The sequence below is a fragment of the Homo sapiens genome, chromosome 20 (assembly GCF_000001405.40).
Source record: "Homo sapiens chromosome 20, GRCh38.p14 Primary Assembly".
Taxonomy (NCBI): domain Eukaryota; kingdom Metazoa; phylum Chordata; class Mammalia; order Primates; family Hominidae; genus Homo; species Homo sapiens.
Window position 1 is genome coordinate 3,545,439 of NC_000020.11, and position 20,231 is coordinate 3,565,669.

At 38.6% G+C, this 20,231-nt stretch overlaps 1 protein-coding gene across 4 annotated transcripts in view; it reads left to right on the forward strand.

Moving 5' to 3' along the window:
* ATRN (attractin) overlaps positions 1-20,231 on the forward strand; it is a 180,101-nt gene that overhangs the window by 74,421 nt on the left and 85,449 nt on the right. For all 4 annotated transcript variants that reach the window (NM_139321.3, NM_001323332.2, NM_139322.4 and 1 more), the window contains exons 4-11: positions 324-452; positions 1,846-2,051; positions 3,732-3,900; positions 13,955-14,045; positions 15,224-15,467; positions 16,838-17,021; positions 17,771-17,925; positions 19,910-19,994. In NM_139321.3, the coding sequence (NP_647537.1) occupies positions 324-452; positions 1,846-2,051; positions 3,732-3,900; positions 13,955-14,045; positions 15,224-15,467; positions 16,838-17,021; positions 17,771-17,925; positions 19,910-19,994 (1,263 nt within the window). The remainder of the gene's footprint in view (positions 1-323; positions 453-1,845; positions 2,052-3,731; positions 3,901-13,954; positions 14,046-15,223; positions 15,468-16,837; positions 17,022-17,770; positions 17,926-19,909; positions 19,995-20,231) is intronic.

Sequence of the window (20,231 nt, forward strand, 5' to 3'; positions counted from 1 at the left end):
TTGTTACTTTATGTGATTGTGGAGGTTTATTTTTTCAAAGAAGCAGTATAAAAAGTTTTATAAGAAAAAGAATAGGGCCATTGATTTCAAATCTCATTAGAAATACAACTCAGAATAAAGGAAGCCTAGCAAAAGATTCAGATCTGTTCCTCAAGGATCCAGAACTGATAGGGTAGCACTGTGTGTTTATCACAGGAATTTGCCTGTCTTCCTGGATGTGGTTTTTAAATTTTAAGGACGGATTTGTTTTTAATTTCTGTCTGCTACAATTTGACATGTCTGTGCTTGTGCTTCCCTCTATAAGAAGTGTGTTTTCATTTCAGTGGCCTCATTGTTCCTGAGAGAGATGGCAATGAGACTGTCCCTGAGGTTGTTGCCACATCAGGTTATGCCTTGCTGCATTTTTTTAGTGATGCTGCTTATAATTTGACTGGATTTAATATTACTTACAGGTAAGATACTTAAGTCTAGTATTTGTGATTTCATTCAGGAGACTATCTACTATGTTTTAACAACAATAATGGCTAACATAGATTGAGAGCCAGGCATAGCGTCAGGCAGTTTACATGGATTTTCTCATTTAAAATTCTTCCATAAATTCAGTGAGGTCTGGGCTCTGTTTTTCTGCTTATTTATAATTGAGGAAACTGGCAGGAAAAGGTTAGTAGATTGTCAAAGTAACTGGTGGGACCACAATTTAAACCCAGGTGTTGATGCTGTTGAACTTCTAGAAGAGAGGGACTTTTCTGCTAATGGACAAAAACGTTGGAATTTTACAAAGTACAGCTCCACAAATATTAGTAGTTGTCATGTACTCGATAGTAGAAGAAATCTATACTCATTAAAGTACCTTGATAGTCCATTTATCCCCCCTTTTAAATTCTGAATTACATTGTTTCAAAGCACTGTCAGTACAATTATATTATTATGAGATGCGTTATAGTTCAACTGTTTTTTTTTTTTTTTTTTTTGAGACGGAGTCTCACTCTGTCACCTGGGCTGGAGTGCAGTGGCATGATCTCGGATCACTGCAACCTCCACCTCCTGGGTTCAAGCAATTCTCCTGCCTCAGCCTCTTGAGTAACTGGGATTACAGGCACCCACCACTTCGCCCAGCTAATTTTTTGCATATTTAGTAGAGACGGGGTTTCACCATGTTGGCCAGGCTGGTCTTGAACTCCTGACCTCGTGATTCGCCAACCTCGGCCTCCCAAAGTGTTGAGATTACAGCCGTGAGCCACTGCGCCTGGCCATAGTTCAATTCTTACATTAAGTTAAACTAGCCTGCCTTCTTCCATCTGAAATGAGTAGATAAAATTACTAAGGAATTTTAAATATACCAATCTGGGCAGTAACCTTAAATTCTATTAAATACAAATTTTCAGAGAGTGTACAGAGGAATATGTACCATGAGGATGGTAGTTTATTGTTGGCAGTTTGTTTTATTCTTTTCCTTCCCAGACTTCCAAGCATGAATTCAGCAACTCTGTAAAGCTCATCATTAGGAGGCTACCAAGAAGAATAGGATAGTCCTCCCACCCATGAGGAGCTAACAGTTCTGCACAAATCTCCTACCTCCTTTAATTTCTTTGACTTTATGAGTTATTTATTCTTATCCTCTTATTATGAGAATCCAGCAGGGTTGATTTGATTTCATTACTTGTACCTCGGGCTCTAGCTATGCAGTGTTGAGCAAACCCATTTGGACTGAATCCTTAAGTACTGCAGTTACACTTGTGAATGAACTGAGACAGTGAGATTCTTAAACTTGTGTGGGAGGAAGTTATGCTAAGTTAATGGAAGCGTTGCGTTGTGTTAATGTAATTTTCCCTGCTATTTTTACAGTTTTGATATGTGTCCAAATAACTGCTCAGGCCGAGGAGAGTGTAAGATCAGTAATAGCAGCGATACTGTTGAATGTGAATGTTCTGAAAACTGGAAAGGTGAAGCATGTGACATTCCTCACTGTACAGACAACTGTGGTTTTCCTCATCGAGGCATCTGCAATTCAAGTGATGTCAGAGGATGCTCCTGCTTCTCAGACTGGCAGGGTAGGAGCTTCTTTCATTTTTATTTTTTCTTCCATTTATAGAACATTCCCACTAAATAAATTATAGATTGACTTTATTCTTAGCACCTATATAATTTATATTAATCAAATACGAGGTAGCATTTAAGCTTGAAACATCCCTCTATCTAGCTGCTTATGAATTTCGGTTTCATACATGTGTGGTCATGGTCTTTAGAATTATGGAGGGTTGGCCATTTTTTGCATCCTGTGTGTGAAAGTTGGAGAACTTGGACTCAGTCATAAAAGGATGTAGCAGAGAGCCAAGCTGGGAGATGGGACAAGAGCTGACAATAATGATATTTCCTCAGAAACACACTCTAAGTTCAGAGAAAATTGGTGTCAGTTATACATTAGAATCTTAAAGGAGTTAGCTAATAGTTATCTACAGAAATAATTAAAGAAGCTTTAGGGAATTATTTAAGGGGTGAGTGATAATAACTGTTATTAATTTGGTGATTTTTCTTGTAAACTTACCCCTTCCTCAGAACCTTTTTACTTTGAAAGGAAATATGCTGGTTTAAATACCTTAGTTTGTTGGGTTTGGCTGACATTTTAGAGTTAATAATTGAAGAATTTCAGTATCTACCATTGTGCAAATATTGCAGCAGAAGCCAAACCTCCCAAGAATGGAGTCTGTTTCTTCAATTTGTTTAAGTTTTTTGATTTACCAGAAGATGGATAGTTTGTATGATTGCTCCCGGGTCTAGTTATCAAACTTATTCCTCCATATCCACAAGTTCTGCATCTACAAATTCAAACAACCATGTGTAGAAAATATTCAGGAAAAAAACACAATAAAAGATAATACAGGCTGGGTGTGGTGGCTCATGCCTGTAATCCCAGCACTTTGGGAGGCCAAGGCAGGCGGCTCACTGAGGTCAGGAGTTCGAGACCAGCTTGGCCAACATGGTGAAACCCTGTCTCTACTAAAAAATACAAAAATTAGGTGGGCATGGTGGCAGGCACCTGTAATCCCAGCTACTTGGGAGGCTGAGGCAGGAGAATGTCTTGAACCCTGGAGGTGGAGGTTGCAGTGAGCCGAGATCATACCACTGCACTCCAACATGGATAACAGAGCCAGACTCCATCTCAAAAAAAAAAAAAAAAAAAAGATAATACAAATAAAAGATACGCATATGAAAACAACCATTTACATAGCATTTACATTGTGTTAAGTATTATAAGTAATCTAGAGGTGAGTTAGAGTATATGGCAGGATGTGTGTAGGTTATATGCAAGTGTTACATCACTAGTTTATATTAGGGACCTTGAGCATCTGTGGATTTTGGTACCAAGGGCATCCTGGAACCAGTCCCCTGTGGATATTGAGGGATAACTGTATATTTTATCCTTAAGATTTTTCATGTGAGTTAATTATTTATTTATCTGTGCTTTCTCCTGAGAGTTGCTTAAGCAGGTATTTCATTACCAAAAAAACCCTAACCTGGATATAGTCAAGTCATCATTAGAAAGTATGTGATTTACCCTTGGTCAATACCCTGAATAAATTAAAATAACAAATTAAAGGATTTGTCTGATATTTAAATGCTAAAGGAAAGACTATTATTTAAATATTTGTTACATTTAGATAATTAAAACTTGAAATGCAGTAAGCTTTAAAGCTGTCTTTTGTGAAGCTAATTCATTATGTTTTTATTAGGTCCTGGATGTTCAGTTCCTGTACCAGCTAACCAGTCATTTTGGACTCGAGAGGAATATTCTAACTTAAAGCTCCCCAGAGCATCTCATAAAGCTGTGGTCAATGGAAACATTATGTGGGTTGTTGGAGGATATATGTTCAACCACTCAGATTATAACATGGTTCTAGCGTAAGTCGTTTTAAACATTTTTGCAAGAAGCTTAGTTTTTTATTTTGAAAATTTATAAAGCACAGATAAGCAAAAATAAATCACCAGTCATTCTACTACCTAAAGAAAATCCCTGTTAATATTTTGGTAGTAGTCTTTCAAAGTGTTTTGACATATGTTGAGTTTTTAAAATTGAATGCTACAAAAAATTCATTGTCATGATAAGCATTCACCTCTTTTCAAATACTGTCTCTGATGTTTTGCTTTAAGTATATGTAGTAAGTTCTATATAAGTAGGGGATTATTTTATCTTTTAATTTAATTAATAGTTCCAAGGTCAAATGGTTTGAATTTATAGTTTGCTAGTGGAAATTATACCATTGTCTACTATGTCCCAGGCTTCAAGGTCTATTTGCTAATCTCGTGCTGCTCATTTTGAAGGGAGAATATGTGTTGTCATAGTGGAATTAGCTATGGAGGTGGACTTGTAGAAAAAAATTTATAAACATTTAATCTTGCTGATTTTATTACCTGGAACTTTTTTCTAGGCATTTTCTATTAATGAAGATTGTCAAAAAACCCAGCATCTGTTCATTAAGGGATTCTGGAAATATGGCAGTGGTGGCCTAGTTTCTGCATCCCCCCAAACATAGTCATTAAAACACATCACACAACTAGTCTAGCAAAATCAGAGAAACATGAGCAACATCTATAATAAAACTTGGTCAGGCTAGGCGCAGTGGCTCACGCCTATAACCCCAGCACTTTCAGAGGCTGAGGCTGGCGGATCACTTGAGATCAGGAGTTTGAGACCAGCCTGGCCAACAGGATAAAACCCCATCTCTACTAAAAATACAAAAATTAGCCAGGTGCGGTGGCCGGCACCTGTAGTCTCAGCTGCTCAGGAGGCTGAGATGGGAGAATTGCTTGAACCTGGGAGACAGAGGTTGAAGATCAGATGGTTGTAGGTGTGAAGCCTTATTTCTGGGCTCTCCATTCTGTTCCATTGGTCTATGTATCTGTTTTTGTACTAGTGCCATGCTGTTACTGTTACTGTTACTGTAGCCCAGGAGTATAGTTTGAAGTCGGGTAACCTGTTGCCTCCAGCTTCGTTCTTTTTGTGTAGGATTGAACTGGCCCAATCTCTATTCCCATTGCTGCTGCCTTTGTTCGAGCCCTTTAATTTCTGATGAGACTCCTGCAGTGGTCAGGTCAGGTTAGTAGATTTCCTCCAGGTTCTTTTCTTTCCCCATACATAGATTCAAACTATTTTCTTTGCCTGGAAAACAAATGCTTTCCTGAATATGAATTTAAAGTCACATCTTATTACAGTTTTTAGGTACACAGATTTTAGGCATTTTCATGTTTTTCATCAGAAGAGCTGTTTGCCAGCCCTAGGAGTGGCACAGGTGGCACCCAGAGATCTCGTAGGAGATTGGATCTCTACAGAGCTTTTCTTACACATCCCCCTTCCCTCTGGGGGGAAAGAGACCTGTCAGGGTCTATTCTTTCTTGGCTGGACAACCCAGAGGAAGCCCCAGAGTTGTTCAGGGGCTCATGCTCTTTCCAGACTCTACCTCAGCAAGTCATTTGTGTGGGCACCTCTTAGACTGTGTCATTATCAATAACTGCAGCCCCTCCATAATCTCATTTCTAAACGTTCCACATTCCACCCTGCTTCTTCTGTGGTGGACACTGTTGGTGCCTTGCCCAGATCTGTTTATCTTTACCTGGCTGGTGCAGTGCACCCAGTCACCTGATGCTGTGCAATTTGGCTGTTGTCAGTTCATAGCTGACCCTTTCTCTGAAGAATTCTCTCAGCAGATTGGAGCTGTCTTACCCAGGAACACCTAGAATACTATGCTCTATCCCCAGGATGTCCCCTAGTGTAGTGACCAACCAGTTTGCCTGGAACTCTCCCAGTTTTAGCACTGAGTCTTGTATCCCAAGAAACCCCTCAGTACTGGACGAAATGGGATGGTCACCCTGGCCCCCAGCTGCTGACTGGCTGGATGGAGGTACATGAGTCTGACCCTGCTTCTACATGGGAAAATTCATGTTCCAGGGCTCCCCTTGGGATCAGGCCAAAGCTATACTTCAACTGAGACCACCTTTTTACTTATCCTCTCCTTCCTACTACCTTGCTTGTCTCACTTCCTGATGTTTGTCAAAAGAGTATTCCCTCAGTAAATCACTTGTACAGGAATCTCTATCTCCAGCTCTGCTTGCAGGGAATCTTACCTGAGACACTTTTCAATCTTTTCAGATATTTCTCTCTAATACCCTAACAGTGTTTGATCTCCACATGGGTCCATAATTCATTGATTCTTTCTCTCTCCCTCTCCTGTTCTCCTTCTTAACTCTAATATCTTCTTTTCATTTTTCAGATTCCTACCACCTTTCCTTCTGTTTTCATTCTCAGTTAATGGCCTTGCTTCCTGCTTCTCTTTTGAAAGATAAAGGTCAGAAAATGATTTCCACAAACTCCTACCACCACATTTCCCCTTCACCTATATCTGTGCCCCTTTATGGTCATCTTTTCTGTAGATCAGTGCTGTCTCATAGAAGTTTCAGGCATCATTCAAATGTTCTGTATTTACCCTGTTGTATCACTGGCCACATGTGGTTATTTCATACCTGAAATATGGCTAGTGTGACTTAGGAGCTGAATTTTTTATTTTCCATTCTTAGTTCTTATCTTACTTGATCTGGCACCAACATTTGATACAGTTATCCTTCCCTCCTCTTTTAAACACTTTCTTTAGTTGGCTTCTAGGACACCACATCCCCTTGATATTTTTTTTAATTCCATATTCCTTCTCAGCCTCTTTAGCTGGTTTCTCTTCAGCTGACTGACTTCTGAATGATGTCAGACCAGGGCTTAACCCTTGGTCCATTGCTGCCTGTTTATTCACTCTTTTGGTGACCTCATATAGTATCTTGGCCTTTATACTTGGTGACTCTCAAATTTGTATTTGCAGCCTAGACTTTTTACCTGATCCCCTATCTCCAGCTCTTTAATTGACATCTCAACCTTCTGGCTGTGTACTAGGCATCTTATGCTCAGCATGTCCCACACTCATCTTTTTCTCAAGGCTGCTCTTCCCCCAGATGTCCCCCCCAGTTAATGGCCACTCCATCCTTCTATTTACTTAAGGCAGAAATCTTGGGTCATCTGTGACTTCTTGTTTCTTCACACCCCGTATTGGTATATTTATGAGTTATCTCATGCTACATAACAAATTACCACAAACTTAGCACCTTAAAACAGTTTGCATTTATTATCACCATTTCAGTTGGTCAGGAGTCCTCTGTAATCAAGGTGTCAGCTGGCCTGCATTCTCATCTAGAGGCCTGAGTGAGGAAGAATTCATTTCCAAGCTCACTTAGGTTGCTGGCAGAATCAATTTCCTTGTAGTTATAGAACCGAGGGTCCCAGCTTTCTGCTGGCTATTGACTTGAGGCTGTCCTTAATTTACGGAGGCTGCCTTCAGCTCCTAGAGCTTACCTCAGTTCCTAGAGGCCACCCAGTTTCTTGTCAGCTGAGCTTCACCAGTATAGCTGCTTACTTCATCAGGCCACAAGAAGAGTCTCTAGACTGAGTCTGCTAGCAGGATGGATGTCACAGAAATGATATCCTATCATCTTCGCCATATTCTGTTTGTTAAAAGCAAGTCATAGATCCTGCTTACCTCCTAGGGGAGGGGATTGTACATGGTTATGAATACCAGGAGGTGGACATCATGAGGACTACCCCAGTGTCTGTCTGACACGATAGGTCATATCTTGTTAGCTCTACCTTTAGAATCTGTCCCAAATCTGATCACCTCTAGTGCTGCCACCATGAGAAGAGAAGGTAAAATTAAAGGCATGAAAGTGATTGTGCCTTCTGCTGTTATACTAGATGTTATGAAAGACACATATTTACCATTATGTGATTTTACCCTAACATCCTCCCTGTCTCTTGAAGCAAGAAATCTGGGAATCTTTAGATATTTCCATATGTTCTTCTCTTCGTACCATAATTTCATATTAAGCCCTCTCAACTCTGTCACCAAATACATGTCATATTTATTCTTTTTATGTACAGCCTGCTGTTATCTCTTACTTAGTCTTCAGCAGTAGGTTTCTATCAAATCTGTTCATTTCCATTTATTCCTATTAATCAAATTGCTAAACATGAACTGGGGTGCCATTGAACAATATAAATAATATCATTTACTACCTTCTTAAAACCCATCAGTGTCTTGCCTTTGGACTTAATGGCCCTGCATGATGTGACCACTGTTTACCTTCCCAGACTCAGTCTTTTCCTCTCCTGCCATCATTCACAGCACTCCTGCCCCACCAACCTGCTTTCTTACTCAAAACGTACGGTGTACATCATTACCTTTAGAGCCTGTGTGTTTGCCCTTCCCTTGGTCTAGACTGTTCCTGCTATTGTGCCTCAGGGCTGGTGTCTTCTCACCCTTTAGATCTCAGTGTGGTTTTCCCAGAGAGATCTTCTCTGACCATCCAGTTCAGACATTTCTCCCTGTTCTTTTTTATAGTCCTCATTTTCTTTATGGCAGTGTTAGTGATTTTTTGTTATGTCAGTGCACACTGTTGTACTTGCTCTTTGTCTGCCTTTGCCAAGTTCTTCAAGGTTAGGGACCTTGTTTACTCACTGCACTCAGAGCTTAGCTCATAGAAGGTACTCAGATAGGTATTTATCAGATAAACGGGGGAGTAAATGATTTATTTCCTTCACAAACATCTGTTCCTGGAAATATTAATATCACCTATTACTTTTTTTTGACTGACATACTTCATGAGCCACATTGTTTTTTAGATCATAACTTTTTTTTTCTACTGATCAAAACATGATTTTCTACAGCTTTATTTGTTTCACGTAAATATTAGCATAGTTCCAAATAATGAACTTTCATGAAAAGTTAATTTAGTGATTCATTTTAGAAGTAGTGTTTCTGGAACTTAGATTACAGATTTTTATTTATTTATTTATTTATTTATTTATTTATTTATTTATTTATTTTGAAATGGAGTCTCGCTCTGTCGCCCAGGCTGGAGTGCAGTGGCACAGTCTCGGCTCACTGCAGGCTCCGCCTCCCAGGTTCACACCATTCTCCTGCCTCAGCCTCCCGAGTAGCTGGGACTACAGGGGCCTGCCACCACGCCCAGTTAATTTTTTGTATTTTTAGTAGAGATGGGTTTCACCATGTTAGCCAGGATGGTCTCGATCTCCTGACCTCGTGATCTGCCCGCCTCGGCCTCCCAAAGTGCTGGGATTACAGTCGTGAGCCACTATGCCCAGCCAGATTACAGATTTTATAGTCATTTATACTCTTACATGAAAGTATTTTAGGAATTGCTCTTCCTGTCATTTTCCTCACAGTCCTGTTAACGCAAAACTTTTTAGTTGCATTAAAAAGCAATTCCCATTTTGTTACCCAATGGTCCTCTTGTGAAATAAGTGGTCTTGGTCCCCTGGATTAAGATTGCCAGTTGAAACTTCATTACCAAATTTCCTTCTCTTGAGCAGAAAAGCTTTTTTTAAGTTTAAAAAAAAATAGTAAGAAATCAGTCAGCAGTCAACCAAATAAGCAAAGTAGCATCACCGAATCCAATAAATGTTAAAGCAGGCTCATGGAACACCAAGTGTGACCTGACCTCTTTTTTTTTTTTTTTTTTTTTTTTTTTTTTGAGACGGAGTCTCGCTGTCGCCCAGGCTGGAGTGCAGTGGCGTGATCTCGGCTCACTGCAGGCTCCGCCCCCTGGGGTTCACGCCATTCTCCTGCCTCAGCCTCCCGAGTAGCTGGGACTACAGGCGCCCGCCACCTCGCCCGGCTAATTTTTTGTATTTTTTTAGTAGAGACGGGGTTTCACCGTGTTAGCCAGGATGGTCTCGATCTCCTGACCTCGTGATCCACCCGCCTCGGCCTCCCAAAGTGCTGGGATTACAGGCGTGAGCCACCGCGCCCGGCCGACCTGACCTCTTACATACCCCACAGAAACCACACTCGGGGAGATTCTGATAATTCTCGGTGATAGCCCAAAATCTGGAAGGAAGCAAACTGAGTGAGCATTACTGTTTTTGACTGTAACTGAAGAGTAGGAGACATAGTTGCTGGGGAGGATCAGGTGAAAGGGGGAGAAATTGACCAAGTGGCTGATTCCCTACCCAGAACTCAGAGCTTCTATTTAAATTAGAATATGATCTGAGCACTGTGGTAGACCACAAAACAAAATCTCAGAGGAGAGGAGAGTCTGGGTATTTTATTCTAACAGACTGCACTCTCATCTGAGCCCCAACATTTCCTTAGACTTCAGAAGAGTAGATAGAACATAAAATACCAGCCCTCACACTAAAGCTATGGAAAGGATAGAAATTCGATAAACTTGTCTTAGATACAGTGGGAACAGAATTGAGAAATCACCCACACTTTGCAAATAAAATGTCTGGAGAGCTATGTGTAACCTCAAACAAGATGAAAGAAGTGGCATCGTAGCTAGTGCAAATATTCTATGATGAAAAAATAAAGAGGAAGAAAGACTGCAGCCTGTAAAATCTAACAAGAACCCATCATGGAGGAAAAGCAGCTTCAAGGAGCAGAAGGAGATTCCTTCCAACTGCTTCGTGCTGCAGATCAACTTAATGAGAATTTGAGTTCAGAAAAACAAGCTAGAAGACAAGATGATAATAACAGAAGAATTGGGAGGTTGTAGGCCTAAAGAAATACGAATAAATTAGATACAGCAAAAATTAGAATGAAAATTTAATTACTGACAGGTTGAGATAATTGTAGTAATACATTGGGAAAAAAACCAGAAAAGCAAAAACACACAAAGGACAGAAGGTGATCAAATAGAACTATAATTGCAGTCACTGAAGAAAAGAACCTAACACATGTAACAGACAGATTGAAACAGCACAAGGTGTTTCAGAAAAATTTTATAGTTTCTTCATGACAAAACCTGATTTGATCAAGTTATTGAGCTTTTTGTGCTTGGAGTGTATCCAAGAAAAATAAAGTCATTGAACTTTTGGGATAAAGGACAAATTATTATTTGGGAGGCCTCAGGTAGTTCTGTGCTATCTGCTGTCTGGGGTCATGTCTAGTCTCCACAGAGCCTTTGCCTTGGTCTTTAGGTGGCCCGATTGGGTTACCAGGCCATTATGGAGTTTGAAACCTGTACCCTGTGGTACATGATGGTCATTGGCTTGCCAGCCATCCTAGAGGGGTCGAGGGAGGTGCTGTCACTCTATGGAAGACATCTTTTTCTGAATTTCTGGAATCTATCTTTGCTTATTTGCTTGCTTAGGTCTTAGAATTAGTTGTTCACTATTCTGTTATCTTGGATTCAGCTCCCAGAAGGTGCATTTATCTTGTACTTTTTTGTACGAGATACTTTTTTATGTTTTAAAACATAAAATTTATGTTTTATTGCATCAGTATCGTTCTTGTCTTATGTTTTTTTTTCTCTGTGTTGAGAGATGATTAACAGCATGTTGTTTAAGTGTCTTCTGATGGTTCACCTTAGCCAGATTATGGGGACCTGCCAGCACCTATGTGTCTCTGACAAGCTCTTGGTCTGACTTGTTGACAGAAGAGGAGCAAAATACATTAAGAGACAGATTGGGCACTCTCCGTGCCCTTTAACAGAAATGTGGAGACCTGTTTCTGTCCTTCCTCTGTTTCTTTCCTTTCTTTTAAACATACAGAAACAAGCCTCTGGCTTGAACATAAAGTCTATATGTGTAGTTGGAAGCTATATGAGTCCTTCTCAGGAAACACCTTTCATAGCCAGAATTCCAAAAAAGCTTTGCAGTGGTATGCAGTCCATTTTATAAAAACATATTCCTGGATGGATTTATTTCTATTTGAAGTAAAATACAATATCATGTCATAAAAAAAATAGAGGTTGCGGGTAGGCAGAGAAGAAGAGAGAATGAGAATGATTCAGAATTCTTCAGGCTTCCAGGCAGAAAAGCAAACCATGAAAAAAGAGGGAAATAAGCTGGCCACAGACTTCTCCGTAGCAACATTTTCAGTACCAGCAGTGTTCAAGGGAGCAACATCTGCGAAGTTCTGGAGGAAAAAAAGGATGGTCCAAGAATAGTGTACCCAGCCAAGGTGTCATTCTGCTGTAAAGCTGGCAGGCAGATATTCTCAAACAAGAGTGAATTCAGGGAAAGAGTACTATGAGCTCTACTTAAACAAAACAAAACAAAAACCCTCTTGACAGTGAAATCCAGAGGAGAATTGAAGAGCTCAAGAAAGAGAAGTTGTGGTAAAAGGACTGTGAGGAGATTGAGTCAGCTAAAATTCAGGACTAAATAACTATGGAATTACTGTTATTGAATGTAGTGCAAATGTTAAGGACCTGGACATTGTAAAAATTTTATAACAAAAATTGGAAGAAGAAATGAGAGGCAATGTGAGTGCTAAGATTTTTCAACTTTCAAAGCAAGAAGTTAGTGAATTCTGTACAAAAATAAATTGCATATAACTTTAAATTCAACCTCTAAATAATTTTTCATGTATTTTTAAGAGTGCAATATTCCAAAAATATGTAAAATAATAGTTATGTGCAATTAATATTTAATAGTTGTCACCATTTGTTGTATTTGCTTCAGATCTTGTATAAAATATTTAAGATAAAAGGAAAGGCTTAGAGAAAATTAACACCAATGGATTCACCACCGGCTTAGAAATTAAAACACTGCTAACACAGTTGAAGTCCCTTGCATGTCCCTCCAAAGTCCCAGAGATAACCTGTATCCTGATTTTGGTGTCAGTTGTTCATACTTTCATATATATGTTATACTTTACATATATGTTATACATTACAGATATATGAAAGTATAGTAGAATTAATAAATTTTCTGTTTTTAGTCTTTATAGAAACAATATTCTGCAGTGTGCTATTTTAGCTTAACATTGTTTTGAGATTTATGTTGACATATGTTGCTGGCGTATATTTTTCATTCTGTATACTTATTCTTTATGTTATCTATCTGGATATATTACCATTTATTTGTTGATTTTCAATGGATGGACATTTATTTGTATTCTTTTTTGCTATTGTGATAAACTTTCTTATACCTTTATGCTTATATATGATAATGTTTTTCAAGATTTTTTAAATACTTGGAATATCCAGGTAAACTTTTATAGAAAAGAAACATTTACTTAAGATATAACAATATCATTTCTTTTTGTTTTTTTTTCTATTTTATGAAAATAATTAAAATCAACACTTTATTAACAGTATCCTCATATGCATAGAAAGATGTCTGGAATGATGTTTACTTAATGATATTTATTTCTAGATCATGGAATGTGGCATCTTTTAAAAAAAACTTTTAGCTCTTTATTCTTTGTATTGGTTACATTCTTTATAATGAACATGTATGATTTTTATAAAAACAGTAGAGTTTTTCTCAAAAGCAAAAACTCAAAAGTGAGTACTTTAAGATACTGAATGTGATTATTGAATAATGCATTAATAAGTATAAATTGCATGGCAGGATTATAAATTATTTTCTTTTTGGCATTTTTGTATTTTAAGGTCTTTATATTCGTAGTACAAGTGAAATGCTATAATGGTATTCTGGCTTTTGAAAATGTATTTTTAGTCAATTATATAAAGAAAAGGAAAGATTAGTAATTTTCTTTTACTTAATTATCATCCCTTTTTTGGTACCTATCTTCAGTTTCTCATGATTAAATAAAAGAAAAGTTATTGTAATAAAATTTTGAGTCCCTTGAGTACAATGCAACCTTTAAATGATTTAGACTGTGTATAGAAGAGGTTTTCAGGAAGTGTTAGAACCTTCCAGTAGCTTTGTATTCCTTTCTTTTCCCAGGATTTTGTAGTCCAGCTCCTCTTCCTGAGTTATCACTTGTCCAGTGGGCCCAGGTGTCAGGTTTATTTGTGAAGGTGACAAGTGCCCCCCTACATCCATGGTGGATTTAGTGAGCATCTCCAAACTGGATTATGTCACAAATAAAATAGTATGAGATGTTCTGTCTTATTAGTTGGGTGAAAATATGATCTGTTTGTTTTGTAGGTATGACCTTGCTTCTAGGGAGTGGCTTCCACTAAACCGTTCTGTGAACAATGTGGTTGTTAGATATGGTCATTCTTTGGCATTATACAAGGTAAAGCATCTCCACTCTGTGCTAAGCAAGAAACTAAGTTTTCCTCAGTTACTTCATGTATTACATAGTTGAAAAGCTACCTCAGTGTTGGTTTTTAATTGGGGAAAACTTTTTATTGGGGGCATTATATAATTGGCTAAGTTATAAGTAGAAATTAAAATGGAAACTTTTTTAACTCAAGAGATTTTAATGGCTTCAAACTGTAATGGGGTATTATAATAATGGCACTAAATGGTTAAAGATGTAGATTAAAAAGTGTAGATTAGCTTTTATTCTCATAAGCAAGTTTAGCCAAGAATAGCCACATTGTAATGTGGCTGAACAAACATTTTCATTTCCTCATTTTTATAGATAGATGGTAGGATGAGGCAACTTTATTTTTCCAAGTCCTTTTATACTATAAAAGATTCATGTGAGGAAGTCCAAGAAAACTGGTGAAGTATTAGAGATGTAAAATATGATTAGTTTTATTTCCCTTTTCCCTTTTTTTATCCTTTTCCTAGTAACTCACTGAAAGGCGCCTTTTGCTAACCCTTAAAATTTTTTTTAATTTATTTTTTACTGAGGTAAAATATACGTATATAATGGTACCATCTTTACCATTTTTAAGTGTACAGTTTGGTGGTAATAAATATATTTACATTCTTTTTTTCCTTCTTCATTCTCCCCCACCAGCCTGCCAGCCTCTGGTAACCACCAGTCTACTCTCTATCTTCATGAGATCCACTTTTTTAGTTCCCACATATGATTGATAATGTGATATTTGTCTCTGTGCTTGGCTTATTTTACTTAACATAATGACCTCCAGTTCAGTCCATGTTGCTACAAAATGACTGGATGTCATTCTTTTTAACGGCTGAATAATGCTCCATTGTGTATATATACACCACATTTTCTTTATCTAATTATCCATTGATAGACACGTTGATTCCATGTTTTGGCTATTGTCAATTGTGCTGCAATTAACATGGGAGTGCAGATATCTCTTTGATATGTTCATTTCCATTCTTTTGGATATATACCCAGTATCGAAATTGTTGGATCATAGGGTAGTTCTATTTTTAGTTTCTTGACTAACCTTTTTTAAGCTGAGAATAATATTGAGCTTTTGTTCTTCTCTGTTCTCAGATTTAATCTTTTCAATGTTTTTAAAAATTTTGTTTGCATTTTTTTCCTAGGATAAAATTTACATGTATGGAGGAAAAATTGATTCAACTGGGAATGTGACCAATGAGTTGAGAGTTTTTCACATTCATAATGAGTCATGGGTGTTGTTGACCCCTAAGGCAAAGGAGCAGTATGCAGTGGTTGGGCACTCTGCACACATTGTTACACTGAAGAATGGCCGAGTGGTCATGCTGGTCATCTTTGGTCACTGCCCTCTCTATGGATATATAAGCAATGTGCAGGAATATGATTTGGGTAGGTATATTTTTTCCAGTAGATGCCTTTTGAACATCAGATTTAAAACCTCTAAGCTTATTATTTTGACTGTTTAGAAAAGTTCAACCTAATCTTGATTCGGTACTTTATCTTGAAACATAGTAAACACTGGGCCCAGGCGTGGTGGCCCACTCCTGTAATCCCAGCACTTTGGGAGGCTGAGGCGGGCGGATCACCTAAGGTCAGGAGTTCAAGACCAGCCTGGCACCAACATGGTGAAACCCTGTCTCTACTAAAAATACAAAAATTAGCCTGTCCTGGTGGCGGGCACCTATAATCCCAGCAACTCAGGAGGCTGAGGCAGGAGAATCGCTTGAACCCGGGAGGTGGAGGTTGCAGTGAGCCAAGATTGCACCACTGCACTCCAGCCTGGGGGACAGAGTGAGACTCCGTCTCAAAACAAACAAACAAACAAACAAACAAAAGCAACATAGTTAACATTGATGTATTACCAGTGAAATGCAGATTATCGATGCTCCTATGTAGTATGTATTTGTTACTGTCAATTTGGTAAGGAGCCAAAGATGACGCAAAGTGCTTTGGGTATTTAAAATAAATAAATAAAAATGGTTCAAAACAATAAATATTGAAGAAAAAAAATATTTGCCCAGCCCTTTAGAGATTGGTTTAGTGGAGTATGATTTACCCTTAATATGAAATATTTCCCTTGGTTAAATTTCATTGTATCTGTTGTTGTGCAGTAGGAATACCAGGTATAATTAACATTTTGTGAAAGTAGGCCTATAAAATATATCTGTATATTGGTCACCAAAGGTTGTAGGGAATTAAATGTTCATTTGAGTGAACATTTTATTTATTGAGACAGGCTCTTGTTCTCTCACACAGGCTGGAGTGCAGTGGCACAATCATAGCTCACTGCAGCCTTGATGCCCTGTCCTCAAGTGATCCTCCCACCTTAGCCTCCCTAGTAGCTGGGACTACAGGTGCGTGCCACCACTCCTGGCTAATTTTTTAATTTTAGTAGAGATGGGATCTTGCTATGTTGCCCAGGCTGGCCAACATAGCAGGCCTCAAGTGATCCTCCCACCTTAGCCTCCCAAAGTGCTGGGATTACACATGTAAGCCACTTCGCCTGGCCCTGAGTGTTTTAAATTTAGTTAATTCTTTTCCTACATGGCATATTAGAACATCAGAACATAGAACAGACTGGAATTGGGCCACATGGCTTTGTTATAAGTTTTAGGTGGCTTTCTTTAAAATATAAAGATAAAAAAGTATATGTATCAGGTCTCCTGAAATCCATTCTCATGCCCTAAGCTCTTTGGACATTTTCAGTAGTAGAGAGGAGGAGCCTGCCATGCTTGCCTTTAACTGTCTTTCCTTTCCAGATAAGAACACATGGAGTATATTACACACCCAGGGTGCCCTTGTGCAAGGGGGTTACGGCCATAGCAGTGTTTACGACCATAGGACCAGGGCCCTATACGTTCATGGTGGCTACAAGGCTTTCAGTGCCAATAAGTACCGGCTTGCAGATGATCTCTACCGATATGATGTGGATACCCAGATGTGGTGGGTACTTTTTCTTGAGCTTTCACTTTAAGGTGTAAATTCTGTAGAGGCAATTGTGGAGAAAATATTGTGCTATCTTTTTGTTTTCATGCCTGGCAGATAATTCTGTTCGGCATTATATATAGAGAAATTGGGAAATAAACAGAGGGTAATAAAGTAGCTAGTATTTATTTTGTTACGTTATTCTGTAATTCTGTAGCAGGTTGGTTAGAAAATACTTAGAGTTTTTTAACAAATGTAAAGCAAATTTGAGTTACGAAATAATGTAATTATAAAGCGATGGTTTCTCCTCTTTTTCCTCACATGTTTGATACCTTGCTATGGGTACTGTTTTATATTCTGTCATAAAAATAATCATTTTTAGTAGCTGTGCAATACTCCATTTTGTGGGTATGCTGAGACTATGCAGGTGAAAGTTTTGGTTTCTTTCTAGTTTTTATGTCATTAAGAAACCATTATGCATTAAGCTTCTGTCAATATTTCACATGATTTCTGCCCAGAAACTGGAATTATATAGCTACGGGGTATGAAGAGTTTAAGGTTCTTAATATATTTTGCCAAAACTCTTACAGGTCTTTAAAATTATCTGTATTTATTGTTGAAAAACTTACTTTTATGTAGGGAAAACTCTGGAAGGATTTGTACATTTGGGTCTGAGGTTAATAAAGTGGTTGTGCTTGCATTAGCAGATACATAAATATTCTTTAAAAACTAACCTTGTATTTATTATTTCTAAATAAACTCAAAAGGACCATTCTTAAGGACAGCCGATTTTTCCGTTACTTGCACACAGCTGTGATAGTGAGTGGAACCATGCTGGTGTTTGGAGGAAACACACACAATGACACATCTATGAGCCATGGCGCCAAATGCTTCTCTTCAGATTTCATGGCCTATGACATTGGTAAGTTTCCCAAAACCATTTTCTCTTCAGGCATCTTTTTGCCTATACTATAAGCAGCATTTAAAAGGAGACTGAAAATATTGCCAGTTCAAAATGATCAGGCCATTTGAAAGAGGTCCAAATGGTATTTTTTATATTCATTTGACTAATGTTACACATCTGGTAAAAATTATTTCTACATTAAATTCTTTTTGAAATCACTCCTGTTAATTGCTTGAATGCTAATTTTTAAGGCTGAGTTGAGGTGTCTAGTCTCTCCTTTGTCATGTTATGCCTACCTGGTAGTGTTACATAGTTGCAACCACCAGCATTGTGTTAAAATTGGTTCACGTATTAGCTTTATCTCATTCCCTAGAAAACTGGTTTCTCACATGGTCTTGGTGTGGCAATATACCAGACCAGAAGAGGGCAGTATTTGTTCATGCAAAGCAAATGCATACCGGATGATCTCTTTCATAAAAATTGTCAGATGTTCATTTTAAACAAATTATTATTTTTTTGATTGTGGTAAAATACACATAAAATTTACCATCCTAACTATATTTAAATGTCTAGTTTAGTGATACTAAACACATTCATAATGTTATAAATCCATCACCGCCATCCATCTTCAGAACTGTCTTCATCTTGTAAGACTGAAGCTGTATACCCATTAAACAATAATGTCCCATTTCTTCCTCCCCACAATGCCTGGCAACCACTATTCTACAGTCTGTCTCTGTGATTTTGACTATTCCAAGTCAGACATTCGTTTTTAACAGACATTTGTGTGCCAGCCACTCAGTTTGTACATTGAGGAGATCAGATGAATAACTTAAAGCCCTTAGCCTCAAAGTAGAAGAGGTAGAGAAATGAGCAGACAATAGAATTGCACTTCAGGGTGTTTCTGGCTGAAAAGAATGTATGAGAGCACCTCTGAGTACCCTTTAAGTCATGGAGGGTAGAGTGATAAACAGGGAACACTTTCTTAAGGAGGGGCCATCCTCTCTGGGTCCTTGGGGACACTAGGTGTCAGGTAGGTGAAGTTAGGCAGCACTCTCCAGGCAGAGGAAACCCAGTTTGCAGAGACACAGAGGTGGAAAAGACCGGCACATATTTAAGGGCTCAAAGAGTGAGACACTGAGTGTGAGGTTGGCATGGTATAGCAGCACCAGTTGGTATTAGATCCAGAAGAGAAGTTGCTAGTATGGGTCACAACAAGGGAAAATTAATCAATCTATGGGATCTAGGAAAGGACTTTGTAAAAATTAGGTGACATTTAAATTTCTTGAAATTTCATTTTCCACCTTTATTTTTCCATTTTAGCTACTAAATTTGAGCAAATCAATATAGAAAAGAGTGGAAAATAATTATGAAACCCATGTTTTGCTGACATAAGCTTTGTAGAATGTAAAATTTGCTTGCTTTAAAAAACATTCTTGGCTGGGCGTGGTGGTTCATGCCTGTAATCCCAGCACTTTGGGAGGCCCAGGTGGGCAGATCACGAGGTCAGGAGATTGAGACTATCCTGGCTAACACGGTGAAACCCCATCTCTACTAAAAATAAAAAAAATTAGCCAGGCATGGTGGCAGGCGCCTATAGGCCCAGCTACTTGGGAGGATGAGGCAGGAGAATGGCGTGAACCTGGGAGGAGGAGCTTGCAGTGAGCTGAGATCACACCACTGCACTCCAGCCTGGGTGACAGAGCGAGACTCTGTCTCAATTCTAGTGCATCAAACTGATAGGCAGTTGGGTGAGTGATCCAGATGTCATGGATTTCGGGTGCGTTTGCTAGTTAGAATTGTGGTATGATCCCGCCTTTCTTCCATGCCCTGTTGCTCTGCTGCTGCTTCATTTTAACCCAGAAATGATGTTGTAACTGAGAAAATTGAGAGGCATGTTTTATGAGGTTCTCTTTGTTGTAGTATTTTTCCCAAAGAAAATGTCAGGTCCTGTTGATTAGAAATGGTAGTCCGTTTAAAAATATATTTTTCTTTCTCCTAGCCTGTGACCGCTGGTCAGTGCTTCCCAGACCTGATCTCCACCATGATGTCAACAGATTTGGCCATTCAGCAGTCTTACACAACAGGTAATTGGAGAAGTGATTGCTCCTTTTCTTTTGTGTTTAAAATGAAAATAAAGGGCCGGGCACGGTGGCTCACGCCTGTAATTCTGGCACTTTGGGAGGCCGAGGCGGGTGGAATACGAGGTCAGGAGATCAAGACCATCCTGGCCAACATGGTAAAGACCCATCTCTACTAAAAGTACAAAAATTAGCTGGGCTTGGTAGTGCGTGCCTGTAATCCCCCCTAGTTGGGAGGCTGAG